The following is a 19,463-nucleotide window of genomic DNA, read 5'->3' as shown; positions in this document are numbered from 1 at the left end:
ATCTCACTCTTTCCATGTTTATGTGACCAATAGGATATAGGATTCACACACACACACACACACACACACACACACACACACACACAAATTGGATCTACTTCTCTGGACAACTTTGACTAATATACCAATGGCTTTCCAGGATGTGACTGACATCCTTGGATTGATGTGAACCCTTCAAGACAACACACAGAGTATATTTGAATCCTTGGTGGGGAGTGTGGTTATCACTACTGATGAGAATTATTCTGCACTAGATTTTGTGAGTAAAGCAGAATGAAAGCTGTTGTTTATGCTCCCCAGAGGATGAATATCAAAATAAGAAAAGAAGAAGGGAATTGATGGGAAAGATATGTATTATGAGCCTTTAGTGAGGCATTGTCTTAAGGCATGTTACATCATCGCATGCATTATCTTGTAATTGAATCTTTATCATAAACAACTTTGTGAGGTAAGTATTATGGACCTGTAATGAAAATGAGGAAATAAAGCCATAAAGTTTAGGTAACTTTCCTTAGGTCACACAGGTAGAAGGTGGACAATTGAGTGATAAAAATCCAATGTTTCCTACTCTACAATCATTCTTTTTAAATCTTCTCATTATACCTGGCTACTTTTAATTTTTAGTATACATGAAACAATCGGGGAATGATGTTAAATGTATGATTATTAGAAAATATTAATATTAAATGGGGCATTTTCGATCCATGCTTCACATACCTGAATTTTAAAGCAGAAGCAATTCAATCAGATCCCATTGTTGTCTTACAATATTTTAAATATACAATTACTTAAACATATATAAATATAAAAGGCAGCATAAATATATTTTACTTATAAACACATGAATCAAACAAACTTATACATTAAATGAAATAAACCCAAGAATAAACTCAATTAATACTATATTATGGTTGACGATGTTTTGCTGAAACTAAATTACAGCTTACAGAATGAATATAGTCATGACTGTTCTAGTCAGGCTCTTATATTTGACATGCCTATACTACTGTCTAGTTGTGATGTAAAATTTTCACTACTTTGCCATTTCTAAACTACTGTGAAATACTCTACAGAATATTTTAAAGTTATGTGGCATTTATCTGGCACAAGAGCATAGTTTACCTAAACATCATATATTAAATCTTTCTCAGTGCTTTCCCACTAATGAGCCAATTCAAGTAGAAGGTTTTGGCATCAATGTTAATGCAAACCAAAATGCAAACTTGGATATTAAAATTTCAATGCAATATTATGAGGTGTTTGAACTAAATAACCAAGGACACATATACAATATTTTTTTGTAATGTTCTGACTTTATTACACTTTCCAAATAACCAGATACATACATGTTTTATACCTTGGTCTCCTCACCTGTAAAACTGAGATAAGAATAATAGCTATCTCCTGATCTCAGGAGATAAACCCGCCATGGCCTCCCAAAGTACTGAGATTACAGGTGCAATACCAGCCTGGCCAACATTGTGAAACCCCGTCTGTAGTGAAAAATACAAAAAATTAGCCAGGCGTGGTGCTGGGCGCCTGTAATCCCAGCTACTTGGGAGGCCTCAGCAGGAGAATCACTTGAACCTGGGAGGCAGAGGTTGCAGTGAGCCGAGATTGAGCCACTGCACTCCAGCCTGGGCAACATGAGCGGAACTCTGTCTGAAATAAATAAATAAATAAATAAATAATAGCTATCTCATAAATGTGTATGAGTTTTAGAAGAGTTAATACTGTATGTGCTCAATACTTAAAAATGCTTTTCATATATTCAGTTCCCAATAAATGTTAACTAATATCCTTAACAACTTTCATCCTAAATTGTTATTCATCTTAGCAGTTTTTACCATATGTTTTGATATCATAAAATATCAAAGTATTTCTAAAATTACTAAAAGTTCACAAACCTCTGAGGATATATTTGTGGGATCCAGGATTTATAGACGCTCAATCTGACAAACTCTGGTTCAGACTTTCTGTACTATTATGGTCAGAGAGCTGTGATTCACATACAACAATATTACACAGAACAATTATTCCCAGTTTATTGGTGATATTTTGCAAAAAAAAAAAAAAAGTCATTTTTCTCCATACTTACACATCTGCATATCCAAATAGATTTCTGCTATTTGCCTTCCACAAACTCAACTGTCAAATCTACGAAGTGCTGAGTGTTTATATTTCAGTGTCCTAAACTTTTCACTACAGATCTGATACTGGGTATTTTTATATGTATATATTTCTGGAAAATTTGGACTGAAAGAGTTTGACCAAAAAATGTAGATTTGTGTTGATATACTTTTTTCTTATATATAAATTATCTTTTAAAATCAATATAACTTATTGATTATATATTTTAAAGTGCCAAATATTTTACAATCCCTAATGGATTCAGTGCAAATAAAACCAATGTCAAATTATTCCACCCACTCTTTTTCCAACTGTATTTACTATGATCCTCAAGGCCAAGGGAATCAGATGCATGATTACATGAGAAAGCACATGTTGTGCTGACCCCAGTGAAGACAACTCACATTCATCTGGGCTTCTCTTGTGAGCATGGACCCTACTGAAGCTGCATTTCTGCCTGCCAATGACAATGTCTTTTCCTAACAAAGGCAGAAATTTTCAGCTATATGAAACTCTTAGACAATTGAAACTCAATTTTAAAATGGAGGAGAATTGACGACAGGACAGCAGAAAAATTATTCCCCAGAGATTCATGAGAAATTAGTAATTCACTATTTAAAACAAACTGTTTACTTTTTATTGTCAAAATATAGAGGAAGATCATAAAACTTCATAAGAAATTCATATTCTGTTTATTAAAAGTAGAATCCTCAGTTCTGTCTAGATAAAATCATTAGAATATCACTACATTTTTTAAACTGTCAGGATCAACTTTTTTCCTGCTAGAATAAAAAAATAACAAAAAGGAAAGTTAACCTAAATGAGAAACTTAAAATTAATTTTTCAAAAACTCTCTCCAAAAATAATTTCAGTAACTAATTCTTCTGCTGCTAGTCATTTAATATCAGAGGCAAAGCGTGATTTTAATTGCACATATCACCATTCTTCAGGAAAACAAAGCACAAAATTTACTACCATCCAGCTTTCTTTGTAGGACTATTAGGTTACACGAAGTCTCCACATTTATATATTCCTTGCAGGCCTTTTCAACAAGATCTCTTTTGGCTTTGAGAATCAATTTTCCTAGCAGTACCATGGCTTGCTTACCCACTGAACTACATAACATTTTTTTGTTGATTTTTCTGGATTGTGTGTATTATCTAATTTGTTCTACTGAATTCTGAACCCTCTTTAAATGATGCATATCATTTAGAAGGACAATGGAAGACTCTACAATGTCCAGCAGCAGTAGCTAACTTTGTGACAGCCTGATTATCACATTATTACTTCCCACCTGAAGCACCTTCTAATCGTTTTGTAATTGAGCTGTCCAGAACAACAGCAATCACACCGACAATAACATGTCATTAATTGCATTAAGGAGCTTATATTCAGTAAAAATAATAACATAAGTTTCCTAATATTTGGCATATACTAGTTTCAGTTCTCTGTAACACAGATGCCACTGATCACAATGTAATTGTCAGGAAAAGAAAATCAGCCAGCTAGAGCCTATGAGCTGATTAGCATAAAGGAAATCTACACTTGTGAACACAGACAAAACCTGGCTTTGCAGAACACAACAGATGTGATTGGCATAACTGTTTGACCCCTAAGTTTAAGGGGAGATTCTTGTGGTTCTATTCTTCCTTTAGAATCATAGTGTGAAATGAAGGCAGAATGCTACCATTCTAACCCTTTCGATTTCTCTTCTCCCCTCTATTAGTCAGCTTATAGAGCTTCACTGCTAGTCCTAAGTTCCTGGTTGTGTGATAAAGGAGCAAACGTTGCCATTGGAAACTTTAGTCTGGCCCATTTACTGTCTACAAAACAACAACAAAAAGAAGCAATAGGGAAATGAACTTTGTAAATGCTTCCAAGAATGACCAAAATGAAAAAAAAAAATTTAAAAAATAAAATTTGTGGATCGAATAGCTGGCACTTTTTTTTACACAATCAATATCATTTCTCCTATCAAAATAAAAAGTATATAGAAATGACAACTCCTCCTTATTACGGTGTGAAAACAACTTACTTGCCTATATCTCTGTGTTTTACTAAGGAAGGGAGTAAATTCACTTTTATACAGGTTACATGATGATGTATCTTGGATGAAGTTGTAATCATGACTCAGCCTCAGACAACAAATGTTAGAACACATGCTTGTCTGCAGTTTGTTTTTGCAGGAATTAATGTCACAAAATTGTTAAAATATATTGAACACTTACTGTATGTCAAGTCCTGTGCAAAGTGCTTTACAGATGTTATTAACTCATTTGGTCCCCCCAATAAACTCATGAGAGAGGATTAAATGTCATCCCCATTTTATAGACAAGAACATTGAGACAATAAGGTAAAGGTCTCAAGAGCTCATAAGTGGTCAAGTTGGAATTCAAAACCAGGCAGTCAGACTCCAAGGTCCATTCTTCTAAGTACCATGTAAGACATACCAAGGTAAACTATCTGATTTAGAAGACAATATGTTTCTATGGAAGTGGCTTGAGCTGAGTTTTCTACAGATAAGCTATCTGTTCTTGAGCAAATCCGTTCATTGTAACGGGACTTAGTTTTTCCATCTGTCAGCAAAGGGTACAATTTCAAAGTACTTCCCTAATCTGAGATAGGTAGATATAGATATATAATTTTTCCATAATTTTTTTTTTGGAATTCATTCTGATCTTCATTAACCTACTCTGTTGTATGGAGACCTCCTTACAACAATAAAAGTGCCAACATTGACAGTCTGTGGCTAAACAAAATGTTGTCACTACTTTTTTTCTTCACCCACTTTATATGAGATGAGGGAGTTCAATTTTCCACTCTGAATTGGTTCATTCCTCCTGTGCTGTAACTTACACAGTCTTCATTCACACATTTGAAATTTGCAGATGGTTAGGCTTTAAAGATGTAAAGATATAATAATCATATACTAAAACAATTACCTGACAAATCAAAAGTCATCAGAAAAGCAAAGTAAATAATAATCACTTGGTAAAGCTATCAGCTTTTCAGGTTATGATAACTTTCCATGGACATTCTTTGATAGAACTATGGGGAAAGCAAGAAAATGAGTATAAAATCTTTTGCTCTTTGGAGCAGTTATTCAATAACAAATATCATGACTCCTCACCTTTGTGTGGTTAATATGAGGTTCCTTTCCTAATGAAACAATATAAAATTGAAGGAAATTAAAATAAATTAAATTTTCATATTTTGGGTGGTATTTAATGACTTTCTTAATATTAATCTTCTTGTATGGACCAGAAACACAGTCCTTCATTAATTCTCTACTACAATGGCTGTCACATTTATACAAAACCAATGAAGAAAAAGAAAAAAACAAACATTTACCCACTTCTTTGTTCATTCTTCTGAATCCAAGCTAAGTTTTCATCACATGCCTCTCTTGAAGTAGCCCGTTCCACCCTTGGCAATAAATTGGGCTTAACAATCTTTCTCCTTGTATCTATGTGAAAATTGTTTGGGTAATTCAGGCTACCTTGCCTAGTAATTTCCTAGGATATGAGAAAGTAATATAGTTTCTGGGTACTGGGAAAGAAATTATATCACACTTTTGTGATATACACTATGCAAGAAAAGTAGGTTTTCTTTCTATTTTATCTTAGAGGTATTAGTTGGTGTTAAATAACTCATCCGTTTTTCACCTGTGCCTTTTTTCCTATTTTTTGTGTGTGTGGTAGTGGTGAGGGGGGAATGAAAGTGGTGCAAACTTTGAACTTAGGTATGCTATTTATTGTGTTTCTCACTTTATTTCTACTAGATACAAAATAACTTTTTAAAGAAGTTGTTGCTTAGATTTTTCCCTTTCCTCTCTATTAAAATGATTATTCAGTGTATTCAGATTTTTGACATTTCACATCTGATTGCTCCAACTGTGTACAATTTACAGTCTCTTAGTCTATCTTGCTGCCTAGTTTATATTTAATTCCATTGTACTTTATACATAGTTACCATAGGGCTTTTCCATATGATAACAAAGATGAGGTCAATTGTTTGACGGGACCACACAATGTTTATTTCTGGTTAAAAATATTTTAAATTGCATGTTTAATTTACACTTAAAATATACACACAGTATAATTTGAATTAGAGTTTATGAGTTTTGAAAAATACATACAGTTATGTAGCCATCACTACAATCAAGATACAGAACAGTTCCATCACTGTCAAACATGAACCTTTGAGTCATTTTCTCCTAACCATTGATCTGTTTTCTATTATAGTGTTTCCTCTTCCAAGATAGTGCAAAAAATAGAAGCATGAAATATGTAAACTTCTTAGCTTGGCCTCTTTCATTTTGCTGAATGCATTCGTAATTTATCCATGTTAGTATACATATCAGTATTTTTTCCTTTTACTGCTGGGTAGTAATCCAATTCATCCATTCACTAGTTGAACATTTGGGTTTTATCTAGCTTTTGATGATTAAAATAAAGCTATTAAAACATTTGTGTATAAGGTTTTGGGTTAATATAAATTTACATTACCTTCATTTCCATACTTTTTTGCTGGAATATATAGCAGGTATATGTTTAGCTTTATAAGAATTTGCCAAACTGTTTTCCAAAGTGGCTAAACTAGCGAGTATTCCAACCAGCAGTGTATGAGGGTTCTGATTGCTCCAAATCTTCTCCAGAACTAGATATTGTCTGATTTATTTTTATTTTTAGCCACGGAGATCTCCCTATGTTGCCCAGGATAGAGTGCAGTGGCTATTCACATGTACAATGGAAATGCACTACAGCCTTGATATCTTGGCCTTCCTGAGCAGCTGGGACTACAGAAGTATGCCACTGTACTTGACTTTTTTTTAATATTGTCTGATTTTTTAAAATGTTACTCATTATAATAAATTAAATAGCATCTCATTGCAATTTTAAACACAGTTTTGAGATATAAGTGACATGAATTAAACCATTGAGTTAGCACTTTATGTGTTTTTAATTTTCGTATAGATTCATATTTTCGTTTGGTATCATTTTACTTCTGTGAAAAAAAACTTCCTTTATTTCCTGTTGTGTAGTAAAATCATTTCATCCTTTTTTGTGCCTTCATTTAAAAAAAATTTTCCCCAGGTATAGAATTCCATGTTGACTGTTTTGTTTTGTCTTCAATACTCTACACTTGCTACTTCTCTGTCTTTCCACTTATATTGTTGTGAGTGAAAAATTTGCTGACATCTTTATTTTGTTCCTCTGTTTATAACATAGATTTTCCTCTTCTGGGTTTTCAGATGTTTTCTTTATCACTGATTTTGAACAATTTGATTATGATGTGCCATGGTAAAGTTTTCTTTATGTTTCTTCTTTTTGAGGTTACTTGAGATTCCTGAATCTGTGGCTTTCTAGTTTTCATCAAATTTGAAGCACTTGTAGGCATTACTTTTTCAAATTTTTTCTGTTCCTTTCTACTCTTCTTTGGAGTCTCCAACTGCACAAATTTCAAAGCCTTTGAAGTCATCCCACAGTTACTGACTCTCTATTCATTTTGTAAAATTATCTCTCTGTTTCATTGTGGATATTGCTATGTCTTTAACTACTCTGCAATGTTTAATCTGCCATTTATTCTAATGTTATTTTCCTCTTGAGTATTATAGTTTTAAATCTCTAAGTTTGATCTGTGTGCTCTCTCTTTAAAGAATATTATATGTATTTGAATTTTTGAACATATGAAACATACAGTTTAATGTCAATCTGCTAATTCTAACATCTATGTCAGTTCTAGGTCAGTTTTGAAAGGCTTTTCTCCTCATTATAGATCATATATTCCTGCCTCATTCCATGCCTGATAACAATGTATTGACAGATATATATTAGGAATTTTAGCTTGTCACATCCTCAATATTTTGATATTATTGTATAACTCTCGAACTTTTTCATTGTATGTAGTTAAGTTACTTGGAAATAGTTTGATTCCTTCAGGTCTTGTTTTTAGGATTTACTAAAACCACAATATAGCAGTACTCATCACAGTGCTCAGTCTAGGGCCAACTTTTATATCACACTGAGATTAAGACCATTTTGTGTACCCTGCTCAATGGGTCATAAACTTATTTTTCCCAATCTAGAGGGTGCCGACAGGTTCTTTCTTTAGCTCTTTGTGAATGTCAAGCACTGTTTCCTCTAATCTTTTGAGGTGGTTCTTTTCTCAACTTTAGGTAGTTTTTTTGTTGTGTGTGAGTTTGACCTATGCTCGGGTGAATACTGGAAAGGACTTCTTGCCAGATCTCTAGAGTTCTCTCTCTCTGTGCAACTCTTTCCTCTCGGTACTCTGTCTTCATTACTTTAGCAACCTTCGTCTCCAGGGATTTCTCAGCTCCGAGTCTGATGACAAAACTTATCTTTCTCCTTCCTCCCTTTACTCCAGCTTCGAAACTCTCTCAAGGCAATAAGCTGGGGCAATCGCAGGGCTCCGCTTTCTTGTTTTACCTCTCTCAGAGGTCACTGTCCATTGATTTATGACCAATGTCTTCTAAACAATTGTTTTAGTATTTTATCTGTTATTTTGGTATTTCCAGTGGGGAAAAGTCAGGTAGCTATTCATTCATTCTGACTAAAAGCAAAAGTAAACTCTGTTGTATACCTTTGTAAAATTATACTAGATTAATAATAATATCTAAACCCACAAAGATGAAACAAACTGGGGAAGGAATAACAGTTCAAAGGAATATTAAGCAGGAAATATGGAAAAAAGATTAGTAAATGGCATCTGATTTAGTTGAGCAGGAAGTTGGAGCCTAAGTATTGGCATTGCAAGTAGCCATTCAGAATCAAAACAATTAATAATGGCAGAATTCCCTAATGTCTCAGGACCTCAGGATTTCTTTTGGCCAGAATAAATGTTTTATTTTAAGACAAATCTCTGTGTTTATGTTTTTTTGTTTTTGTTTTTGTTTTGGTGGTGGTATTTCAACAAGTCATCCCACATAACAGGGAGGAAAACTTCCACTGAATAACTTGGTAGCCTCTCTGAGGCATCATTCATGAGTCTTTGACAGTGTTAAAACTGAAAGAAGCTCAATTTTCAAACTTTTATTAAGTTCAAACTTTTCATTTTTCTCAGAGAAAAAATTTCTGGGCTTAGGAAAGCTGGGGTCCCAGAAGCAAATCGAAGGGCTGGGGCAGCTGGTCTGGCAGGGGATGCTGGGAGCAATCAGTTCCAGGCTCGTAGAATCCATATTTGGCTTGGGTCTGATGACAGCTGAGCCTGTTCTCTGACCAAGCGTTCTTCAATTTTAGAGCCCAAAATAGGATAAATAAATGATACTCTACAATACCAAAAGATAGACAGCCATAAGCTTTACCTGCCATCACAGTAATCCAAAATCTTCTGCTCCCTTTCCCCTGCAGAAGGTTGGATTTATGTTTGAAGATGTTGAATTCGACAATTTCTTTTATTTATTTATTTTTATTTTTATTTATTTATTTATTTATTTTTTGGAGTCGGAGTCTCGCTCTGGCGCCCAGGCTGGAGTGCAGTGACGCGATCTTGGTTCACTGCAACCTCCGCCTCCCGGGTTCAAGCAATTCTTCCTGCCTCAGCCTCCCAAGTAGCTGAGACTACAAGCACACGCTGCCACTGCAGGCTAATTTTTTGTATTTTAGTAGAGACGGGGTTTCACCATGTTGCCCAGGCTGGTCTCAAACTCCTGAGCTCAGGCAATCCGGCTGCCTCGGCCTCCCAAAGTGTTAGGATTACAGGCGTGAGCCACCGCACCCGGCCGAATTTGACAATTTCTAAATTTTGGCACTTTAAGCACACCTGAAGGCAAAAAGGATTAAGTAATAATCTCATGAAAAACAGTGTGACCTAGTTCTTTTCTCCTGCAAAATTCCCACAACATTGGCAATCAGGCCCATAGATCTCAATCGAGATTCTAAACTTTCCTCTTAGGACTGTTTCGCTGCATCCCCGGTTGCAGTATGCCCTGTCTCCATTTTGGTTTATTTCAAGATGTTTTTAAATTTCTCTTTCACTTTCTCCATTAGCCCCTTAGCTGTTCAGGAGCATGTTTAATTTCCATATATGTGTGAATTTTCTAAAATTCCTCCTGTTATATAGTTTCATATCATTTTGGTGAGATAACTGATATGATTTCAATGTTCCTAAATTTATTAAAACTGGTTTTGTGGTCTAACATATCATCTATCCTGGAGAATGTTCCTTGGGCACTTTAAAAGAATGTGTATTCTGTTTCTTGTTGGATAGAATGTTGTATACATGTCTGTTAGGTTCACTTGGTCTAAATGTTTCTTTATTAATTTTTTGTCTGGATGATCTTTACATTGCTGAAAGTGAAGTATTGAAGTCCTGTAATATAATTATATTACCATCTTTCTCTCCTTTTAGATTTATTAATATTTGCTTTACATATTTAGGTGCTTTGGTATTGGGTGCATATATATTTAAAATTATTATAGTCTCTTGATCAATGGACTCCTTTTTTTCATTATAAAATGTCTTTCTTTGACTCATTTTACAGTTTTTAATGTAAGGTCTATTTTATCGAAAATGAATATAGCTACCCTGCTCTCTTTCGGTATTCATTTGCATGAACTACCCTTTTTCATTCCTTCACTTTAAGTCTGTGTTTGTCTTTACAGGTCAAGTGAATCTCAAAAAAGAAGAAAGTGAGTCTTAAATAAGAAAGCTCCCAAATAAACAACCTAAATTTGTACATCAAGAAACTAGATAAACAAGAACAAATTTAGCCCAAAGTTAGCAGAGGGAAATAAATAATAAAGAACAGAAAAGAAATAAATGAACTAGAGATGAGAAACAGTACAAAAGATCAATAAAAGTAAGAGATGTTTCTTGAAAAGATTAACATCAACAAATTTTAGCTAGACTAAAAACAGAGAAGACTTAAAAATAATATCAGTAAAAAAGGAGACATTACAACTGATATCACAGCAATACAATAGGTCAGGAGATTACAATAAAAAATTGCACATGAACAAATTGGGACAACCTAGAAAAAATTGGATAAATTCCTAGACATATACAATCTACCTAAATAGAATCATGAAGAAATAGAAAGTCTGAACAGATCAATAATGAGTAAGGAGATTAAAATATTAATAACTCATTTCCTATCAAATAAAACCCCAAACCTAATGGCCTTATTGCCAAATTCTACCAACTATTTGAAGAACTAATACTAATCCATCTCAAACTCTTCAAAAAAATTAAAGAAAATACTTCCAAACTCATTTACAAGGACAAATTTTCTCTGATACCAAAAACAGACAAAGACAGCATAAGAAAAAAATTATAGGCTAATATTCTTGATGAATATAGATACAAAAATCTTCAATAAAATATTAGCAAACTGAATTCAACAACACATTGAATGAATTATTCAACATGATCAAGTGAGATTTACGCCAGAGATATAGGAATGATTTGACCTATGCAAATCTATAAATGTGATACTACATTAACAGAATGAAGAACAAAAAACATGATAATTTTAATATATCCAGAAAAAGCATTTGACAGAATTTAACAACCTTTCAAGATAAAAAGTCTCAACAAATTCTATATAAAAAATGTACCTCAACACAATGAATAACATATATGATAAGCCCGTAACTAAAATCATACTCAACAGTAAAGGGTTAAAACCTTTATGACTAAGATCAGGAAAGATAAGGATGTCCACTCTCTCCACTTTTATTTTAGCCAGAACAATTAGGTAAGAGAAAGAAATAAAAAGCATCATCATTGGAAAGGAAAAAAAAATTAAATTCTCTGTTTGCAGACAACAGGATTTTAAATATGGAACACACTAAAGAGTCCACCAAAAATCTGCTAGAACTAATACATAAATTCAGTAAAATAGCAGGATATAAAATCAATATACAAAAATCAGTTACATTTCTACACATTAACAATGAATTATCTTAAGAAGAAATCAAGAAAACAATTCCATTAGAAATAGCTACAAAAAATAATTAAAAATAAATTTAACAAAGGAGGTGAAATACCTGTACACTGAAAATTCTAAAACATTGGGTGAAATAGAAGACACAAATAAATGGAACAATATCTCATGTATATGGATCATAATAATTAATATTGCTAAAATGTCAATACCACCCAAAGCAATCTACAGATTTAATGCAATCCTTATCAAAATTCTAATAATATTTTTCACAGAAATAGAAAAAATTCCTAAAACTTTTTTGCAATCACAAAAGACCCCAAATAGCTAAAGAAATCTTGAGCAAAAAGAACAGCAATCAAAGTGTACTACAAAGCTATAGTGATCAAAACAGCATGGTATTGGCATAAAAAGAGATATGTTGACCAATGGAAAAGAATAGAGAGCTCAGAAAGAAGTTAACCCAGCCAGTGGTCAATTGACTTCTGACAAAGGGGAAAGTATAGGCACTTCAATAAATGACACAACTGAACAAGTGGATATCCACATGCAGAAGAATTAAATTATACCATTAGCTAATATCATATATGAAAATTAATTCAAAATGGATTAAGGAGTTAAACATAAGATCCCAAACTGTAAAACTACTAGAAGGAAACTGTGAAACTGCTAGAAGGTAAATCTCTATGTCTTTGGCCTAAATATAAATTTTTTTCGACAAGACTTCAAAAGCATGGGCAACAAAAGCAGAAATAAAATTGGACTACATCAAAATAAAAACTTTTGCACAGCCAAGGAAACAATCAACAGTAAAAAGACAGCTAGAGAATGGGAGCAAATATTTGCATAGCATACGTACATCTGATAAGGATTAATATCCAAAATATATAAGGAACTCATACAAATTACTAGCAAGAAAACTAATTACCACTTTAAATGGCCGAATAGGAACAGCTCAGGTCTACAGCTCCCAGCGTGAGCGACGCAGAAGATGGGTGCTTTCTGCATTTCCATCTGAGGTACCGGGTTCATCTCACTAGGGAGTGCCAGACAGTGGGCACAGGTCAGTGGGTGCAGCGCACCAAGTGCGAGCCGAAGCAGGGGGAGGCATTGCCTCACTCGGGAAGTGCAAGGGGTCAGGGAGTTCCCTTTCCTAGTCAAAGAAAGGGGTGATAGACGGCACCTGGAAAATCGGGTCACTCCCACCTGAATACTGTGCTTTTCCGACGGGCTTAAAAAACGGCACACCTGGAGATTATATCCTGCACCTGGCTCAGAGGGTCCTACACACACGGAGTCTCACTGATTGCTAGCACAGCAGTCTGAGATCAAACTGCAAGGTGGCAGAGAGGCTGGGGGAGGGACGCCCGCCATTGCCCAGGCTTGCTTAGGTAAACAAAGCAGCCGGGAAGCTCCAACTGGGTGGAGCCCACCACACCTCAAAGAGGCCTGCCTGCCTCTGTAGGCTCCACCTCTGGGGGCAGGACACAGACAAACAAAAAGACAGCAGTAACCTCTGCAGACTTAAATGTCCCTGTCTGACAGCTTTGAAGAGAGCAATGGTTCTCCCAGTATGCAGCTGGAGATCTGAGAAATGGCAGACTGCCTCCTCAAGTGGGTCCCTGACCCCTGACCCCTGAGCAGCCTAACTGGGAGGCACCCCCCAGCAGGGGCAGACTGACACCTCACTCGGCCGGGTACTCCTCTGAGACAAAACTTCCAGAGGAACAATCAGACAGCAGCATTCATGGTTCATGAAAAACCACTGTTTTGCAGACACTGCTGCTGATACCCAGGCAAACAGGGTCTGGAGTGGACCTCTAGCAAACTCCAGCAGACCTGCAGCTGAGGGTCCTGTCTGTTAGAAGGAAAACTAACAAACAGAAAGGACATCCACACCAAAAACCCATCTGTACATCACCATCATCAAAGACCAAAAGTAGATAAAACCACAAAGATAGGGAAAAAACAGAACAGAAAAACTGGAAACTCTAAAAAGCAGAGCAGCTCTCCTCCTCCAAAGGATCGCAGTTCTTCACCAGCAATGGAACAAAGCTGGACGGAGAATGACTTTGACGAGTTGAGAGAAGAAGGCTTCAGACGACCAAACTACGAGCTACAGGAGGAAATTCAAACCAAAGGCAAAGAAGTTAAAAACTTTGAAAAAAATTTAGACGAATGTATAACTAGAATAACCAATACAGAGAAGTGCTTAAAGGAGCTGATGGAGCTGAAAGCCAAGGCTCGAGAACTACGTGAAGAATGCAGAAGCCTCAGGAGCCGATGAGATCAACTGGAAGAAAGGGTATCAGCGATGGAAGATGAAATGAATGAAATGAAGTGAGAAGGAAAGTTTAGAGAAAAAAGAATAAAAAGAAACGAACAAACCTCCAAGAAATATGGGACTATGTGAAAAGACCAAATCTACGTCTGATTGGTGTACCTGAAAGTGACGGGGAGAATGGAACCAAGTTGGAAAACACTCTGCAGGATATTATCCAGGAGAACTTCCCCAATCTAGCAAGGCAGGCCAACATTCAGATTCAGGAAATACAGAGAACGCCACAAAGATACTCCTCGAGAAGAGCAACTCCAAGACACATAATTGTCAGATTCACCAAAGTTGAAATGAAGGAAAAAATGTTAAGGGCAGCCAGAGAGAAAGGTCGGGTTACCCACAAAGGGAAGCCCATCAGACTAACAGCGGCTCTCTCAGCAGAAACTCTACAAGCCAGAAGAGAGTGGGGGCCAATATTCAACATTCTTAAAGAAAAGAATTTTCAACCCAGAATTTCATATCCAGCCAAACTAAGCTTCATAAGTGAAGGAGAAATAAAATACTTTACAGACAAGCAAATGCTGAGAGATTTTCTCACCACCAGGCCTGCCCTAAAAGAGCTCCTGAAGGAAGCACTAAACATGGAAAGGAAAAACCGATACCAGCCACTGCAAAATCATGCCAAAATGTAAAGACCATTGAGACTAGGAAGAAACTGCATCAACTAATGAGCAAAATAACCAGCTAACGTCATAATGACAGGTTCAAATTCACACATAACAATATTAACTTTAAATGTAAATGGACTAAATGCTCCAATTAAAAGACACAGACTGGCAAATTGGATAAAGAGTCAAGACCCATCAGTGTGTTGTATTCAGGAAACCCATCTCACATGCAGAGACACACATAGGCTCAAAATAAAAGGATGGAGGAAGATCTACCAAGCAAATGGAAAACAAAAAAAGGCAGGGGTTGCAATCCTAGTCTCTGATAAAACAGACTTTAAACCAACAAAAATCAAAAGAGACAAAGAAGACCATTACATAATGGTAAAGGGATCAATTCAACAAGAAGAGCTAACTATCCTAAATATATATGCACCCAATACAGGAGCACCCAGATTCATAAAGCAAGTCCTGAGTGACCTACAGAGAGACTTAGACCCCCACACATTAATAATGGGAGACCTTAACACCCCACTTTCAACATTAGACAGATCAACGAGACAGAAAGTCAACAAGGATACCCAGGAATTGAACTCAGCTCTGCACCAAGCGGACCTAATAGACATCTACAGAACTCTCCACCCCAAATCAACAGAATGTACATTTTTTTCAGCAACACACCACACCTATTCCAAAATTGACCACATACTTGGAAGTAAAGCTCTCCTCAGCAAATGTAAAAGAACAGAAATTATAACAAACTATCTCTCAGACCACAGTGCAATCAAACTAGAACTCAGGATTAAGAAACTCACTCAAAACTGCTCAACTACATGGAAACTGAACAACCTGCTCCTGAATGACTACTGGGTACATAACGAAATGAAGGCAGAAATAAAGATGTTCTTTGAAACCAACGAGAACAAAGACACAACATACCAGAATCTCTGGGACACATTCAAAGCAGTGTGTAGAGGGAAATTTATAGCACTAAATGCCCACAAGAGAAAGCAGGAAAGATCCAGAATTGACACCCTAACATCACAATTAAAAGAACTAGGAAAGCAAGAGCAAACACATTCAAAAGCTAGCAGAAGGCAAGAAATAACTAAAATCAGAGCAGAACTGGAGGAAATAGAGACACAAAAAACCCTTCAAAAAATTAATGAATACAGGATCTGGTTTTTTGCAAGGATCAACAAAATTGATAGACCACTAACAAGACTAATAAAGAAAAAAAGAGAGAAGAATCAAATAAACGCAATAAAAAAAGATAAAGGGGATATCACCACTGATCCCACAGAAATACAAACTACCATCAGAGAATACCACAAACACCTCTGTGCAAATAAACTAGAAAATCTAGAAGAAATGGATAAATTCCTCGACACATACACTCTCCCAAGACTAAACCAAGAAGAAGTTGAATCTCTGAATAGACCAATAACAGGAGCTGAAATTGTGGCAATAATCCATAGCTTACCAACCAAAAAGAGTCCAGGACCAGATGGATTCACAGCCGAATTCTACCAGAGGTACAAGGAGGAACTGGTACCATTCCTTCTGAAACTATTCCAATCAATAGAAAAAGAGGGAATCCTCCCTAACTCATTTTGTGAGGCCAGCATCATCCTGATACCAAAGCCAGGCAGAGACACAACCAAAAAAGAGAATTTTAGACCAATATCCTTGATGAACATTGTTGAAAAAATCCTCAGTAAAATACTGGCAAACCGAATCCAGCAGCACATCAAACAGCTTATCCACCATGATCAAGTGGGCTTCATTCCTGGGATGCAAGGCTGGTTTAATATATGCAAATCAATAAATGTAATCCAGCATATAAACAGAACCAATGACAAAAACCACATGATTATCTCAATAGATGCAGAAAAGGCCTTTGACAAAATTCAACAACTCTTCATGCTAAAAACTCTCAATAAATTAGGTATTGATGGGACGTATCTCAAAATAATAAGAGCTATCTATGACAAACCCACAGCCAATATCATACTGAATGGGCAAAAACTGGAAGCATTCCCCTTGAAAACTGGCACAAGACAGGGATGCCCTCTCTCATCACTCCTATTCAACATAGTGTTGGAAGTTCTGTCCAGGGCAATTAGGCAGGAGAAGGAAATAAAGGGTATTCAATTAGTAAAAGAGGAAGTCAAATTGTCCCTGTTTGCAGACGACATGATTGTATATCTGGAAAACCCCATTGTCTCAGCCCAAAATCTCCTTAAGTCGATAAGCAACTTCAGCAAATTCTCAGGATACAAAATCAATGTACAAAAATCACAAGCATTCTTATACACCAACAACAGACAAACAGAGAGCCAAATCATGAGTGAACTCCCATTCACAATTGCTTCAAAGAGAATAAAATACCTAGGAATCCACCTTACAAGGGACGTGAAGGACCTCTTCAAGGAGAACTACAAACCACTGCTCAATGAAATAAAAGAGGATACAAAGAAATGGAAAAACATTCCATGCTCATGGGTAGGAAGAATCAATATTGTGAAAATGGCCATACTGCCCAAGGTAATTTATAGATTCAATGCCATCCCCATCAAGCTACCAATGACTTTCTTCACAGAATTGGAAAAAACTACTTTAAAGTTCATATGGAACCAAAAAAGAGCCCGCATTGCCAAGTCAATCCTAAGCCAAAAGAACAAAGCTGGAGGCATCACACTACCTGACTTCAAACTATACTACAAGGCTACGGTAACCAAAACAGCATGGTACTGGTACCAAAACAGAGATATAGATCAATGGAACAGAATAGAGCCCTCAGAAATAATGCCACATATCTACAACTGTCCGATCTTTGACAAATTTGAGAAAAACAAGCAATGGGGAAAGGATTTCCTATTTAATAAATGGTGCTGGGAAAATTGGCTAGCCATATGTAGAAAGCTGAAACTGGATCCCTTCCTTACACCTTATACAAAAATCAATTCAAGATGGATTAAAGACTTAAACATTAGACCTAAAACCATAAAAACCCTAGAAGAAAACCTAGGCATTACCATTCAGGACATAGGCATGGGCAAGGACTTCATGTCTAAAACACCAAAAGCAGTGGCAACAAAAGCCAAAATTGACAAATGGGATCTAATTAAACTAAAGAGCTTCTGCACAGCAAAAGAAACTACCATCGGAGTGAACAGGCAACCTACAAAATGGGAGAAAATTTTCGCAACCTACTCATCTGACAAAGGGTTAATATCCAGAATCTACAATGATCTCAAACAAATTTACAAGAAAAAAACAAACAACCCCATCAAAAAGTAGGCAAAGGACATGAACAGACACTTTTCAAAAGAAGACATTTATGCAGCCAAAAAACACATGAAAAAATGCTCACCATCAGTGGCCATCAGAGAAATGCAAATCAAAACCACAATGAGATATCATCTCACACCAGTTAGAATGGCAATCATTAAAAAGTCAGGAAACAACAGGTGCTGGAGAGGATGTGGAGAAATAGGAACACTTTTACACTGTTGGTGGGACTGTAAACTAGTTCAACCATTGTGGAAGTCAGTGTGGCGATTCCTCAGGGATCTAGAACTAGAAATACCATTTGACCCAGCCATCCCATTACTGGGTATGTACCCAAAGGACTATAAATCATGCTGCTATAAAGACACATGCACATGTATGTTTATTGTGGCACTATTCACAATAACAAAGACTTGGAACCAAGCCAAATGTCCAACAATGATAGACTGGATTAAGAAAATGTGGTACATATACACCATGGAATACTATGCGGCCATAAAAAATGATGAGTTCATGTCCTTTGTAGGGACATGGATGAAATTGGAAATCATCATTCTCAGTAAACTATCGCAAGAACAAAAAACCAAACACCGCATATTCTCACTCATAGGTGGGAATTGAACAATGAGAACACATGGACACAGGAAGGGGAACATCACACTCTGGGGACTGCTGTGGGTGGGGGGAGGGGGGAGGGATAGCATTGGGAGATATACCTAATGCTAGATGACGAGTTAGTGGGTGCAGTGCACCAGCATGTCACAGGTATACATATGTAACTAACCTGCACATTGTGCACATGTACCCTAAAACTTGAAGTATAATAATTAAAAAAAAAAAGAAAAAAAGTGATATGAGATTAAAAAAAAAAACTGGACAAAGAATGAGAACAGACATTTTTCAAAATAAGAAATACCAATGGCCAACGGGCATATAAAAAAAATTCAACATCACTAATTATCAGAGAAATGCAAATTAAAACCACAATGAGGTATCATCTCACAACTGTTAAAATGGCTATTATCAAAAAGATGGAAGATAATAAGTGTTGGCAAGGATTTGGAGAAAAGTGCCTCCTTGTAGAGCGTTGTTGAGACTGTAAATTAGTATAGCCATCATGGAATACAATGTGGAGGTTTCTCAAAAAGTTAAAAATAGAACTACCATATGATCCAGCAATCCTACT

General features: G+C 36.0%; 1 annotated feature.

Moving 5' to 3' along the window:
* Nucleotides 12,851-13,351: an enhancer, noted in NCBI's record as "H3K4me1 hESC enhancer chr13:71964457-71964957 (GRCh37/hg19 assembly coordinates)". NCBI's record gives its function as "activates a minimal SCP1, AML or CMV promoter by ChIP-STARR-seq in naive H9 embryonic stem cells {active_cell/tissue: H9 hESC(naive)}" and the evidence as "EXISTENCE:reporter gene assay evidence [ECO:0000049][PMID:30033119]".

This window comes from Homo sapiens, chromosome 13, assembly GCF_000001405.40.
Source record: "Homo sapiens chromosome 13, GRCh38.p14 Primary Assembly".
NCBI lineage: Eukaryota > Metazoa > Chordata > Mammalia > Primates > Hominidae > Homo > Homo sapiens.
Note: the sequence above shows the minus strand (reverse complement) of the source record. Positions and strands in the feature narration are given on the sequence as shown.